The following is a 16,630-nucleotide window of genomic DNA, read 5'->3' as shown; positions in this document are numbered from 1 at the left end:
TATCCAGAATCTATAGGGAACTTAAATCAACAAGCAAAAAAGAAATAACCCCATTATAAAATGGACAAAGGACAGGAAAAGACACTTCTCAAAAGAAGACATGCAATTGGCCAACAAACATGAAAAAAATGCTCAGCATCTCTAATCATTGGAGATATGCAAATCAAAACATCCGTGAGATACCATCTCACACCAATCACAATGGCTATTATTAAAAAGTCAAAGAACAACAGATGCTGGGCAAGACTGGGGAGAAAAGGGAATGCTTATACACTGTTTATGAGAATGTAATTAGTTTAGCTACTGTAGAAAGCAGTTTGGAGATTTCTCAAAAAACTTAAAACAGAGTTATCGTGTGTCCTGGAAATCCCATTACTGAGTATATACCAAGCCCCCAAATAAATCATTCTACCAAAAAGACACATATCCTTATTTGCATGTTCAACACTGCACTGTTTGCAATAGCAAAGGCATGGAATCAACACAGGTGCCCATCAATGGTAGAGTGGATAAAGAAAATGTGGTATATATATACACTATAGAATACTATGCAGCCATATAAAAGAATGAAATAATGTCTTTTTCAGCAACATGGATGGAGCTGGAGGCCTTAATCCTAAGCAAATTAATGAAGAAACAGAAAACCAAATACCAGATATTCTCACTAATGAGTGGGAGCTAAGCATTGTACACACATGGACATAAATATGGGAACAATAAACACTGTAGACTACTAGAGGGTTGGAGTGGTGGATTTAAAAAACTCCCTGTGAGGTACTATGCTCATTACCAGGGTGATGGGATTCATACTCTGAGCCTCAGCATCAAGCAATATTATCATGTAACAAATCTGCATATGTATCCCCATATCCAAAATAAAAGTTCAAATATTAAAAAAAGAAACAAAGAGTATCTGATAGAACAAATTTTCTCAGGCAGTTCTGACAACATTACTGAGCTAATTAAGAAATATAGAACATGCCAAATACCTAACAACACAATTTTTGAAAACTTAATTTAACATATAAATAGGAAAATACATCGCGACCAAGTAGCATTGATCTCAGGATTGCAATGTTGTGTTAACATTTAAAAATCAGTCAATGCAATTAAACGGATTTACAAAATACCAAGAAAACCATATTCTCAATTTAATAGATGGAGAATAGGTATTTGTCAAAATCCAAAATCTATTATTTTTTTCTTTTAAGTTTTGTTTTACTTTCATTTTAGGTTTGGGGGTGTATGTACAGGTTTGTTACATGTGTATGAGAACATGCAGTATTTAGTTTTCCACCCCTGTATTCATTCACTTAGGATAACGGCCTCCAGCTGCATTCATGTTGCTGCAAAGGCCAGATTTCATTCCTTTTTTATGGCTGACTAGTATTCCATGATGTACAGGGATCACTTTCTTCTTCTTCTTCTTCTTCTTCTTCTTCTTCTTCTTCTTCTTCTTCTTCTTCTTCTTCTTCTTCTTCTTCTTCTTCTCCTCCTCCTCCTCCTCCTCCTCCTCCTCTTCTTCTTCTTCTTCTTCTTCTTCTTCTCCTTCTCCTTCTCCTTCTTCTTTCTTCTTTCTTCTTTCTTCTTTTCTTCTCCTCCTCTTTTTTTTGAGACAGGGTTTCACTCCTGTTGCCCAGGCTGCAGGGCAGTGGTGCAAGCTAGGCTCACTGCAGCCTTGATTTCCAAGGCTCAGGTGATTCTTCCACCTCACCCTCCCAGGTAGCTGGAACTATAGGTGGGAGCCACTGCCCAAGCTAATTTTGTGTATTTTTAGTAGGGACAAGACTTCACCATTTTGTCCAGTCTCGTCTTGAGCTCCTGGGCTCAAGAGATCCACCCACCTTAGCCTCCCAAAGTGGTGGGATTACAGGTGTGAGCCATTGCACCCAGCCCATACCATATTTCCAATCCACTGTTGATGGGCATCTAGGTTGATTCCAGGTCTTTGCTATTGTGAATAGTGCTGTGATAAACATGAGTGCATGTGTGTTTTTGGTAGAATGATTTATTTTCCTTTGGATATGTTCCCTTTTCTCCACAACCTCGCCAACATATTTCAACATCCATTCTTAATAAATCTCTCAGCAAATTGGAGATACAAAAGAACTTCCTCAAGATGATGAATGCCATTAATTTCCTGGATCTGCCATAACAAGTACCATAAACTAAGTGACTTAAAACAACAATAGCTTACTGTCTGATGGTTCTGGAGACTACAGTTCCAAAAATCAAGTTGTCAGCAGGGTTAGATCCTTCTTAAGGCTGTGAGGGAGAGTCTGTTCTATGCTTCTCTCCTAGCTTCTCATAGTCTCAGGCATTCCTTGGCTTATAGATGGTGTTTTCCCTGTGTCTTCAGATTGTTTTTCCTCTATGCATGTCTATCATTGTGTCTAAATTTCCCCTTCCTATAAGGACACAGTCATATTGGATTAGGGCCCACTCTAATAACCTCATCTCTACTTGACCATCTGCAAAGATGCTATTTTCTTTTTTTTTTTTTTTTTAACTTTTAAGTTCAGGGATACATGTGCAAGTTTGTAAGACAGATAAACTTGTGTCATGGGGGTTTGTCGTACAGATTATTTCATCACCCAGGTATTAAGCCATTAATACCCATTAGTTATTTTTCCTGATCTTCTCCTTCCTCCGTCCCTCCACCCTCCAATAGGCCCCTGTGTGTGTCGTTACCCTCTCTGTGTCGATGTCTCATCATTTAGCTCCCACTTAAAAGCGAGAACATGTGGTATTTGGTTTTCTGTTTCTGCATTAGTTTGCTAAGAATAATGACCTCCAGCTCCATCTATGTACCTGCAAAGGACATGATCTCATTCTTTCTTTATGGTTGCATAATATTCCATGGTGTATATGTCCCACATTTTCTTTATCCAGTCTATCATTGATGGACATTTAACTTGATTCCATATCTTTGCTCTTGTGAATAGTGTGCTGCAATGAACATATGCTTGCATGTGAACAATTTATATTCCTTTGTGTGTAAATGCAGTAATGGGATTGCTCTGTTGAATGGTATTTCTGCCTCTAGGCCTTTGAATAATCACCACACTGTCTTCCACAATGGTTCAACTAATTTATACTCCCAACCAATAATGTAAAAGTGCTCCTTTTTCTTTATAACCTCGCCAGCATATGTTGTTTTTTGACATTTTAGTAATAGTCATCCTAGCTAGTATGAGATGATATCTCTTTGTGGTTTTGATTTGCATTTATCTAATGATCAGTGATAATGAGCTTTTTTTTTCACATGATTTTTGGCCACACGTATGTCTTCATTTGAAAAGTGGCAAAGGCCCTATTTTCAAATAAGGTCACATTCACAGTTAGGATAAGACTTCAGCAACTTTTGTGGGGGACACAACCCCCACTCGGCACCTATGCAAATGCACAGCTAACATGGAATTTAATGATGAGAGACAATGCTTTTCCCCTGACTTCAGGAAAAAGGCAAGGATGTCCATTCTGACTTCCTCTATTTAGCATGGTATGGTTATTTTAGTCATACAAAAAGGCAAGAAAAATACATAACAGGCATCCAGATTGAAAAGGAGCAAAAACCGTCTTTATCCTATGATAACATAATAACGTACGTTGACAATTAAACAAAATCTACAAAAATGCTACAAGAGATAGCAAGTATATATAGGAAGGTTGGAGACTATATGATCAATATGCAAAAATCAATAATATTTATGTATACAAGCAACAAATAATTGGAAATCTAAATTAAACAATCACTACCCTTTATGACAACTTAAAAAATCTGAAATACATAGGTCAAAATATGACAAATGATGTGTATGACTTGAACACTTTGAAAACCACAAAATGTTGTTAAAAAGACCTAAATCAAGATAAAATTACACTCCTTCATTGATTAGCAAATAGAATAGAGGGAAGAATGTTAATTCCCCCCAAATTAGGTCAATAGATTCAATGCAATCTCAACCACAATCCTTGCAGAATTTCCTAGCAGAATTTCCAGACAAGCAAATTAAAAAAATTTGTGCCAAAATTCAAGTGACCTAAAATGGTCAAATTTTATTTTAAAGTAAAATAATCATATACTACTAAAGTCTGATTTCATAGTTATTTCTTCTATCTTTATCCTCTTTCTTCTCTTTTTTTTGTGTTTTCTATTATCAAAGTATTGAATGCCATAAAAATTAAAGAGGCAAATTGCAATAAAAATTCAACTGTCACGCAAATAAACATAAAATGCAAATTCTGTGCTCACAAAGTCTATTTTTTCAACTTTTCTGATTTACCACTTCTTATCATCATTCCATGCTTAATGTGTGGTACTTTCCTGCCCTGTTACCAGCTTCTCCTATCTACGGTATTTTTGGCTTCAATTCACACTTACCAGAAAAAACTCTTTAAGATTTATTAACCTGTTTATTTGTTACATTTAGGCCATTTCATTACCTCTGTTTTAATCCTTAGCCATTGAAATAAATCTATAGACAGAAGATGGAGCCAGTAGAGAGAGCACATGCTTGTAATCCCAGCTACTTCAGAGGCTGAGGCACAGAAATTGCTTGAGCCAGGAGTTAGAGGCCAGCCTGTGCAACATAATAAGACTCCATTTATTTAAAGGAAAAAAAAATTGAGAAGTAAATGTTGTCTCTAAGTTGTGTAAAATAAACTTTGAATGGAAATAATCAAGATGTAAGTAAGTTGCAAGATATAGGTCTACTTTATGGGTAAAATATAAGATGCATTATGGAGTGTTTAAAGTTTTTTAAGAACAGAGTTTGGGATAAACTACCACTTCCATGTCAATCTGAGGACTTAAAATCTTAATTCTGTTCAGTAGCTGTCTTACATAGTCATTTAAGATTTCCAAGTCATTTCTTCGTCAGCAATAAAGGAAGAATATACACAGGGCTTATTTGTATTTGATAGGGGCAAATGAAATGTACATCAAAATGCGTGGTACATCCTAAAGAATGATATAAAGAACCTATCTGTGGCTCTCATCCAACACCACCCATCCTCCAACTGGTGTGTAAAATCACTCAGAGGTTTACCTTATACCACCAGGCAAGGAGAAGTTTATACAAGTACTTGCATGCTTTGTGTATAAAGGTACAATTAATTCCCTTATTTTTTAATTTAATTTAATTTAATTTAATTTTTGAGAAGGAGTCTCACTCTGTTGCTCAGGCTGGAGTGTGGTGGCCTGATATCTCCTCACTGCAACATCTGCCTCCTGGGTTCAAGGTACTCTCCTGCCTCAGCCTGCTGAGTAGCTGGGACTACAGGCACAAACCACCACACTGGGCTAATTTTTGTATTTTTAGTAGAGATGGTGTTTTGCCATGTGGGCAAGGCTGGTCTCGAACTCCTGACTTCAAGCGATCTGTCTTCCTGGGCCTCCCAAAGTGCTGGGATTACAGGCATGAGACACCATGCCTGGCCTTTTCACAATTTTTATTTATTTTATAAATCAGATTTTTAATTTTTAAAATTTTTAATTTTTGTGAGCACATAGTAGGTGTACATATTTATGGGGTACATAAAATATTTTGGTACAGGTATATAATGCATGGTAATCACAGGGAAAATTTGGCATCCATCTTCTGAAGCATTTATCCTTTGTGTTACAAATAATCCAATTATTCTATTTTGGTTATTATAAAATATTCAATTAAATTATTATTGACTATAGTCCCCCCATTGTGCTACCAAATGCTAGGTATTATTCATTCTTTATGACTATTTTCTTTGTATCCATTACCCATTCCCACCTCTCTCCCACTACCGTTCCCAGCCTCTGGCAACCAACCTTCTATTCTTTACCTCCATGAGTTCAATTGTTTTGATTCTTAGATCCCACAAATGAGTGAGAACATGCAATGTTAGTCTTCCTGTGCCTAGCTTATTTCGCTTAACATAATGACTTTCTGTTTTATCCATGTTGTTGCAAACGACAGGCTCTCATTCTTTTTTTATGGCTGAATAGTACTCTGTTGTGTATATATATCACATTTTCCTTATCCATTCATTTGTTGATGGGCACTCAGGTTGCTTCCAAATCTTGGCTATTGTGAACAGTGCTGCAAAAACCATGGGAGTGCAGATATCTCTTTGATATACTGAGTTCCTTTCTTTTGGGAATATAACCAGCAATGGGATTGCTGGATTGTATGGTAACTCTATTTTTAGTTTTTTTCAGTAGCTTCCAAACTGTTCTCCATAGTGGTTGTACTAGGTTCCTACCAGCAGTGTACAAGGGGTCCCTTTTCTCCACATCCTCACCAGAAATTGTTATTGTCTGACTTTTGGATAAAAGTCATTTTAATTGGGGTGCTATGATATTTCATTGTAGTTTTGATTTGCATTTCTCTAATGACCAATGATGCTGAGCAACTTTTCATATGCCTTTTTGTTTCTTTTCTCTTTTCATGTGTATTTTACACATCTTGAAATTTTCCAACAGTTTAATATTCTCTATAGTTTAAAATTTTTACACATATTAATTTTAGATTTTTTTTCCGTCTTCATGTTTATTACATTTTTTTTCTGTGATGTCTAATCTGTGGTTAATCCCATTCAGTATATTTTTCATTTTAGTAGCTGTAGTTGTCATCTTTACAGGGTTCTATTTGAGTCTCTTTTCTAACTTTCTTGTCTCTACTTAATTTGTTCAATATTTCTACTAGTTTTTGAACATATGGATTATATTTTAATAGCTATTACAAGGTCTTTTCCTGATAATTCTAACAGCTGTGTCAGTTCTGGTTTATTTTGATTAATTGAATCTTTCTCCTTATTTTGGTTTATTGTTCTCTACTTCTTTGCTAACTGGTTAATTTTGATTCAATGCCATACATTTTGAATTTTATCTTTTTGTGGTTGAACATTTTTATATTGCTACAAATATATTTAAATGTTTTTCTAAGATGCAGCTAAATTACTTGGCAACAGTTTGATCACCCAGATCTTGGGTTTTAAAATCTGTTAGGAAAAGAGCAGCCTTTAGGCTAAAGCTGATTTTGTGCTAATAATGAATCAAGACATTTTATTCAAAGACCTATGAATTACGATGTTTTTCAGTTTGGCTGGCCCTGTGGTAACATCAACTCTCATTTCCTCTACTCCTTTTTGGATGGTTCTTTACCTGATCTTGCATAGTTTATTCAGTGCTTTGTTGACAAGTATTTTGTTGAATACCTAAGGGGGACCCACGGCAGACCTTTGAAGTTTTCTTTCTAGTAAGTTCTTCTCTCTGTGGTTCTTCACCTTGGTCTTCCTGGACTGTCAACTCAAGAGGTCCGCTGGTTTCACACGGGTACTCCCTTTCTATTCCATACCCTGGAAACTCTTGTAAGGTAGTAAGCTGTGACAATCATAGGGCCACTTGTTTGTTTCTGTTTTTTTTAGGTGCTCCTGTTCCTTGGTGCCTGATGTCCAATATCTTAAAAACCACTCATTCATCTATTTCATTCATTTTTGTTTGTTTGTTTCAGGCAAGAGGGTGAACCATACCCTTGTATCTCTGTTACAGCACTTTTCCTTGATGCAGAAGCAATCCTTTACTGTTTTAGAAGCAATAATATTCTTTCATGGACTTACAAGTATTTTTAAGTTATGTTTTTTTAATTAAAATATTTTTGGGAGGAGAATCCAATCTGGTAATTTACTGGCTAACAAAATATAAAGAAGATACTTTAGGGTAAAAGATAAGAATCTATATTCAGATTATTGAAAATGAGCTATGCCAACGAAGAGTGATTTTCGAAGCTTTTAATAGAACTTACTTTGATCTGGCTGGGTGCGGTGGCTCATGCCTGCAATCCCAGCACTTTGAGAGGCTGAGGTGGGTGGATCATTTGAGGCCAGGATTTGGAGACCACCCTGATCAACATAGTGAAACTCCATCTCTACTAAAGATACAAAATTAGCTGGACATGGTGGCACATGTCTGTAATACTAGCTACTTGGGAGGCTGAGGCAGGAGAATCACTTGAACCTGGGAGGCGGAGGCTGCAGTGAGCTGAGATTGTGCCACTGCACTCCAGAACAAAACACTGTCAAAAAAAAAAAGGACGTTACCTTGACCTGAGATAAGACTCCAGAGGACTAAAAGGTTAAAAGCTAAGATTTTTTTTTTTGTCATTGCCATTGTTCGTTCAACCTTAACCTTAAAAGACAACTGTCTGACCAACTCTTTTATGATAGATTAAAGGCCTCAGAGGAGGTATATGTCTCCCTCTCTCTCTCTCACTCTTTCTCTGTCTCTCTCTCTCTCTCCTACATACACACACACACACACACACACACACACACACACACACACTAGTTAGGAACACGTTTTGGACCAAAATCTTCAGCTGACAAAGTGCTAGTGTCATGTCAGTTAAGATATGTGTTTTAAAAGAAATCACTAATTTGTCTTTGTCTTTCAACAACAAAAGAAGAACACTGGGAATGTACACACATTAAATATTTAATAGGACTTACTGTTAACATCTTTAAAGAGAACATATGAATCTGCCTTTCCTGTTCTCAGTAATGGGAAGTCAGGGATTTGCATATACTCTTATACCTTCCAACATTTATTTCCTTGCTGTTACTATCTGCTCTGGACCATCACTACTACCCTTATTGTACAGATAACTTTTGTGCATGTTAGCCACCAAGAGAAACTTAGATCTCCTGGTCATAACTCATTCATTTTTTTCAATACTGAGTCAAAAACACTACTTGTTTATTAGGGCTCATCACTTTTCCTTTATTTTAGGACTTTCCTTTAGCAAATATCATCACGATCTAATTAATCACCATTTTTTACTTTTTACTAAATCTTTGTTATTAGCCATCAAACTTGAACACATTTACCTCTTCAGCTACTTCCCAGTTACCTGTTCCCCCTTATATCAAACCTCTCCACAAAGCCATCTCTAGTTCTTTTTCACACATTTTAGTTGGTTCCCACCTTTTCATTAAATGCAGTATTTTCAGTTACCAGTGATCTTCATGTTGCTAAATTCAACAGTCAATCCTCACATCAAATCACATGTGTCTTTTAGTATGATTTCTCAAAATTGCCATTTCTTCTTGTCGAATTACATTCTTGATTGGCTAATAGAAACATGGACTTTCTCAGTTTTCCTCCCATCTCCCCAGTCCATCAGTCTCCCATCTTTCTGGAGGGAGTGACAAAGGAATTAATTCAGTCACAATCCTTGTTCCTCTCTTTTTCTCTTTCTATATTCAAACTCTTGGTGATCTTACTCTCACAGATTGAAATTTTTGTTTTCACTTGCCCCAGATGGCTTATCCCCTTGTTTCTTCCCTTGCCTTATTTCCTAGTATTCTCTTTCTTATCCTCTCTGTTTCTCTCTACTAGATTTTTTGCTTGTGCTGGAGGTTTGTTAGGAATACTCCTAACTTTGGAACTTGACATTTGTGATTTCTTCTGCCTAGAATGTCTCTCCCACAGAGATCTTAATGGTTTTGTCCCTCACCTTCCTCAAATGCTTGTTCAAATATTACTTTCCCAGTAAGATGTGTTCTAACTAATCTATTTAAAATTGGCTCCTCACTTTCATGTTGGCATTTAACAGTATACCTGTCCTGGTTTATTTTTCTTCATAACATTTAAAACCTAACTGTTTTAATGTTAGTAAAAACTGATGCATTTTACTTACTTATTTTTAATTTCTATGTCCACCCAATAGAATGCAAATGGTATAAGACAAAGGATTCTTTTCTTCTTCTTTTGTTTGCTGATGCATCTCCAGTGCTTAGAAAAATACATGGTAAATCATGGGTATAAATACTTGTTGGGTAAAACAATGAATAAATGGAACGTTTCTGTCACTTTGCTTCTGTCAACTGATGAGTAGAACACTTCTGTCAACAAGAATGGGTTTCAACAAGAAGAAATGGCGATTTTGAGAAATCCTACTAAGAGGACCATGTGATTTGATAATGAAGATTGACCATTGAATTTGGCAATGTGAAGATAACTGTTAACTTTGAAAATGTGCATTTAGTGAAAAGATGGGACCCAAATAAAATGTGTGAAGCAGAACCCAAGGCAGCTGAAAATCTTAATTTCCCTTTAGCATTCAGTATATTTGTCACTTTTTCCAGCAAGTCTTACCTAACTTTGCATGACCAGGTTTCATTGTGATGTGCTTTTCTTTTTTAAAACTTTTTTTTTAATTATACTTTAAGTACTGGGGTACATGTGCAGAATGTGCAGGCTTGTCACATAGGTATACATGTGCCATGGTGGTTTGCTGCACCCATCAACCCATCATCTACATTATGTATTTCTCCTAATGTTGTCCCTCCCCCATCCCCCAACCCCCAACAGGCCCCAGTGTATGGTGTTCCCTTCCCTGTGCCCATGTGTTCTCATTGTTCGACTCCCACTTATGAGTGAGAACATGTGGTGTTTGGTTTTCTGTTCCTGTGTTAGTTGGCTGAGAATGATGGTTTCCAGCTTCATCCATGTTCCTGCAAAGGACATGAACTCATCCTTTTTTATGGCTGCATAGTATTCCATGGTGTATATGTGTCACATTTCTTTATCCAGTCTATCATTGATGGGCATTTGGGTTGGTTCCTCTTATAATGAGAATTATGCTACATGCATTTTTACTACTTTTCTAATTGCCTTTCTCCCTCTGTGAACCCGAATTATAGGCTAAGAGAGAGTAGGAACTTAGTTTTATTTGTTGATCATGTTATAGTAAGTATTTAGAAGAATTCATGTGAAAATTAGATACTACATTCAACAGACTTTTAATACATGCCTTGAAATTGGCTGGAAAGGTGTGCAAAAATACTTTCAAAAGTGATTGAAATATTTTAATTTATATAACTTCTTGAGAAATGTTCATCTTGTAAAAACTGCTACTTGAAAAGATGTATTATGTCAATTGTATTCCCAGACCTTTCAAGAAGTATTAAGGAAGCCAGATCTCATGCCTTACAGCACAGTGGGAAGAACCACTGCCTCCCATTGGTTTGGAGGTGGAGGGTTGAATGTGTGCAACAGAGCTGCTGTGAATCCTGCCATGGAGGCATATGTAAGATGTGCTGAAGCCTTGCCTTCACCACAAGGGACACTGAGCCAGCTGCCTGCGTGAAAGATAAGTAATACTGGTGGTGAGTACATCGTAAGTCCAATTTCAATAGTCAATTGTAAAAGTGATAAGTTTCAAACTTAACATTAAAATTATGTCTTATGTCTGTTACTGAATCCAAGTTATCATACAAAGAAAAACTCAAACTGAAAGTGCCTTAATTTTTTGAAAGAAATCACTATGAAAAAATTAAATTTGAAAATGCCCACTTAGGGATTCTTATTTTTTTTTGTCTCAGTAGAGAGTGAGATCATATTAAAAACATAAATTGTGTTTTAATTTGTATAATTATTAAACACATTCAAAATAAACATAGAAAAACAGAAAATACAAGTGAAAAAGTTAAATTAGTAAAAGCTAATGATACTGATACTACTATTGACAATATTTGAATATATTCTCTTTCTGCTTTTCTATTTTATACAATATTAGGGTAGTACTACTTAAGTAGTATTATAACATTTTTCCTCAAAATACGATATTGTAGATATTTTCTCAAATCCCAAAATATTTTTTGTAACATAATTTTAGTTTGAATATATCATGCCGTAACTGAGTATTTTTCTATTTTTTGACGTTCATATTGCTTTAACATTTTTACTATTGTATATAAAATACTTTGATAAATGTCTTTTTGCGTGAATCTTTGTATACGTCCTTATATTTGTGATATGGAGAATATTAGATACGTAACTTCTGGGTCAAAGAACTTGAATATACTTAAAGATCTTTACTTAAAGTGTCAAATTGCCATGCAGAGAGATTGTGCCAACATTCTTACTAGTACCTTGGGTGAGGTAAAAATGCCTTGACTTTTAAAAATCTCTTATTGTTGCTATTTTAAGTTTCATTTTTATCTAACAGTTATTTATGTGGTTGTCATTTTCTAAATGGCTAGTTTAAGCACACTTTGTAAATTGATGAGTCATTTATATTACTATTTGGTGAAGTACCTGTTTTTGCCTAATTTTCCCTGTGGCTCCATTCTTTTCTATTTACAAATTTACATCAAGGATGCTATTCTTTACATTTATGTTATAGTCATTTTTCTGTTTGTTATTCCTCTTTGAGTTCTATCTATAGTCTCTTTTGAAGTACTGCTTCATGTTTTAAAAAATAAATTTGTTACTCACGCTTGTTTCTTTCCGCTGATTTAATACTTAGAATTTGTTTACCACCTCTGTGTGATTTATATGAAGCTTCTTATGTGTCAGACACTGTTCTTTATAATATGTTGACTCCCCTATACCTCACAAAATATCTGTATGAAGCCCCTATTTTTGTTCATGTTTTACAGATGACTAAACCTAGAAATGGAAATAGTAAATTATTTCACCAAAGTCACAGTAGTATGTAAATTGCAGAGCCACAATTTCAATACAAGCAGTCCAACTCCATATTCCATATGCTTAACGAGTATGATGAACTGCTTGTATTTTCTCCTATTTATTACATGATTTTATTTCTTAATTTTTAATTGTTGTACTCTTTTTGATTAATGATATATGTCATGAGTAGGTTATTTAAGTTTTTTTTAATTTGGAAGACTTACAGTACCAAGAGTATTTTTGAATAATTTATTTTTGCACCTTGATAAAAAATGTTTCTCTGAGCACATACTCAATCTGTATGTAGTACAAATTTTGCTCCTTGAATTTCTATTTAGTTTTCTCTTTTACTATTAAACAATCACCAAAACTATTGTATTTTTAAATGTTTTCATTTTTAAAATTAATATTTCACCTTCTATTACTTTCTTAATAAAAAAACTTTGGTTATTCTTGAGTTTTATGGGTTTTTTAAGTTATTACTACCCTTAGAAATATTTGTCAAGATGTAAAACAGTTTCCATTAAAATTCTGTTTTTAATTTACTTGAAATAGATTCACTGAAGGACAATTCACACTTTATTATATTGTTTTCCCAATTCAGAATGGGGTACAAACCCCCCAATTATTCAAGATTTATTTTATATACTTATCTTATATATTATACCTTTTATATAGAGTTCCTACATGTATGTATATGTGTGTGTATATATATATACTCACACACAAAAATGTATATATATGTAAATAAAATAAATTTATAGGAGTATTTGTGTATGGGGTGGATATATATGTGTATTAATTATTTATTATAACTATTCTGCAATTGTCCAAACTAATGACTCTATTATTCATTTTAATTTAGATTTCCACACTTGCCTATGATAATTGGTTTGTGTATCTATTCTCTCCCAAACTGGGAAATATTAGGACAGAGTTATTACACCATAGTTTGTAACCCTTCAGTGCATACAGACACAGTAAATATTTCTTACATGAATGAATGCTTTCCTCCCCGCTATTTAAAGTAGAAATATTTTAGCCCTTTTTTATTTACATATATTTAACCATCACTTGTAAATCACTAGAAGTAGTATATTTGATTGAAACCTGCAATGCATTTCTACAAATTATTTTTTTGCCTCAGAATAAAACAATTTGAATTGAAGGATTATCTTTAAATTATTAAATACTGCTATTTTTAAAGCAATTTGGGGAAGGTTTTAAGTGTGGTCAGAAGTAGACATTGCCTGTACACAGAAGATTTTTATTTCTTGACCCTTGATTGTTGCTCTTATGAATTTGAAAAAATTAAAAACAGCAAGAGTTTTCATTTAATAGATCCAAGGTTTCTTTAGAGGCGCTTATTTTTGTTTGTTTTTGTAGCAGCATGCAAACCTTCTAAATTTCAGTAATTCACATAAAATATGATATCAGGAAAACACAATCTTCAATAGCTATGGGGAAAATGTTTTGAAATTGCTCTTAATGTTACTCTTTTCCACTTATGAAGGTAAACAAAACTGAGCATCTTTACTATATATATAAATCTAAAATACATATCATAATGTGTATATAGGTATATACATATTATGTGCTGTATATAAATATATGTTAAAGTATTTTTCATTTGAAAGCAAAAAACTCTTTAATTTTCTGGTGTGTCTTTGTAGTAGGTTAGCATTTTATATCAGCATTGCTTTGGGAGCTCAATTGAATTTCCTTTGAAATTCCTATGTGTCATATAACCTGAAGAGGATCACAAATGTGAGAAACATTTGTGGTCATAGAGGACTTTCATGGCACATTAAATATGTGCATGTGGGTGGGAGAGAGAGAAAAGAGAAAGAGTGTGTGATTTTGCTTATGTGGATATCTTTGCATTGACTTACTATATGTTATTTTTATTTTTTAATCCTATAGAGTCTGATCTTTTGCCAGTCATGTTTTCTTTGTGTGGCTTTTTAAAATTTTAATTTTTTAACATTTACTTTCATGGGTACATGTGCAGGTTTGTTGTATTCATAAATAGCATACCACAGGGATTTGATGTGCAGATTATTTCATCATCCAGGTAATAAGCATAATACTCAATAGGTAACTTTTTGAGCCTCATCCTCCTTGCACCCTCCACCTTCCCATAGGTCCCAGTGTCTGTTGTTCCTATCCTTGTGTCCATGTGTACTCAAGGTTTAGTACCCACTTATAAGTGAGAACATGTGGTATTGGGATTTCTGTTCCTGCACTAGTTCACTTAGGAACATGGCCTCCAGCTCTATCCATGTTGCTGCCAAGAATATGGTCTCATTCATTGTTATGGCTGTGTAGTATCTTATAGTGTGTACTTCCACATTTTCTTTATCCAGTCTACTGTTAATGGGCATTTAGATGGATTCCATGTCTTTGCTGTTGTAAATGGTGCTGCAATGAACATATGCACAGCAGGAGTATCTCTTTCATCTCTACTCTAATAGGCTCACCTCATTAGGTCAGGCCCAGCTAGTTAATTTCCTTTTTGTTTAACATAAATTTGACTGATTAGAGACCTTAATTACATCTTCAAAATTCATTTCCTCTTTTCTATTCTATTGGTTAAAAACAAGTTGTTAGTCCTGCCCATACTCAGGAGGGAGGGATTACAGACAGGTGTGGATATCAGGAGCTAAAAATATCAGGGCCATTTTATAATCCTGCCTACCACACTCTGTGACTACAGTTTGCAAATAATTTAAGAGGGAGAAAATAATATCCTGTTTATGTTATCTTAATTTGTAATTTTTCAGCTGTATTTTAACCAGCATGAAAGCACTGTAGAAGCTATAATATCCTCTGTAATTATTAAATAATACAGTGGTTATGAATATTTTCTTATCTTTGCATAACTCAAAGGAGACTTTTGTGACCATTCTCCTTCTAAGGTAATTTTAATATAATCTATAGAAGCATTCTTCAGATACTTGACCTAATTCCAAATTGGTGCTTTGAAAAAGAGACCCAAATGTGGATACACTTGAACATGTTCATGATGTGAAGAATGATAATCTTAAAAGGTTTTCTCATCATTTGGACTTTTATATTATTGTAACAGTTTGCCATATCAGTCAAGGAGTACTTGTGCCCCACTTGTGGTTTAGATTGCATAATACAAAAGTCTCTAATACTCTCAAATAATATTTTTCCTGAATTTAAGATTATTTTATTCAATATTATAGGAAATAAAAATACAGTCAAGAGAATTTATTTTATTATAGTCGATTTTATTTAAAAATACTAATGATTTACTGAAAATTATCATCAATAAACAGAATCTTAGTGTGTATTGAAATATGTCTACACTGGAATAATCTTTTATTTTGAAGTATTTATGCCTTAGACATTGCTGATTTATATGTCTGGATAATTATCTTTAAATTAATATACAAAAATTACAGTCATTTTTATGGAAAACATCATACTTACACTTTTAAAATGTTTTAACTTGATTGAATTCAATCTATACTTACACCTTCAGCTCCCATTTCTCCTTTTTTGTTTCCAGGTTAAGCTGTAATAGAAATTCAGTTGATGAGACAAGATCGAAGTTCTGCCATTGAATACTCCTTGAACTTGGAACTCTTCTGAATAGGCCCAAAGGAAGATAACTTTGACTATATAAACTACTTTTGGTCATTACAGGTCGACTATTATGTTCTCTTGTCTTATAAAACAAATATCATCTAAAATATTGTACATGATTATAAACATAACCTTTCCAAAATAAAATCAGAACTTTTTCCTGTGCCAGCATCATGAAACGTTCATATTATTGTGATGAGAATGTTTATAAGTGGATAAGCATTCTCTGTTCATCAGTGATTCTTTTTCTCCCCTAAAATTTAGAAGATTTTAAAGGTATTATTGATCATGTTGCTTTCTCTATAAGCTTCACTGCTCATTAATTGCTCTTGAATTGATAGCCATTGTATGTAACTCCCACTGTGGTCAATCATCAGGCAGTAGAACTTAGAACAGTGGGAAATATTCGTTAATATGATTCTTTGATCAACTCAAAAAATATGAGGACTTTTAAGGGTGACATCTAATACAGGTGGATTTAATTTTGTGGACAAAACCTAATATGAAAACCCAACAATTCGTATGGGCGTTGATACTCAAAAGATTAAGTCTTTTAAAGAA

The 16,630-nt window shown here is 34.3% G+C and overlaps 1 long non-coding RNA gene across 1 annotated transcript in view; it reads left to right on the top strand.

Annotated features, from left to right (window-relative positions):
- LINC02307 (long intergenic non-protein coding RNA 2307) overlaps positions 1-16,243 on the top strand; it is a 395,530-nt gene extending 379,287 nt beyond the window's left edge. The window contains exons 3-4 of the long non-coding RNA NR_187192.1: positions 10,932-11,148; positions 15,993-16,243. This is a non-coding gene — a long non-coding RNA (long intergenic non-protein coding RNA 2307). The remainder of the gene's footprint in view (positions 1-10,931; positions 11,149-15,992) is intronic.
- Positions 16,244-16,630: the final 387 nt, after the last annotated feature.

Source organism: Homo sapiens, chromosome 14, assembly GCF_000001405.40.
Source record: "Homo sapiens chromosome 14, GRCh38.p14 Primary Assembly".
NCBI classification, from domain to species: Eukaryota; Metazoa; Chordata; class Mammalia; order Primates; family Hominidae; genus Homo; species Homo sapiens.
The sequence above is the reverse complement of the archived record's forward strand: the minus strand, read 5'-3'. Positions and strand labels throughout refer to the sequence as shown.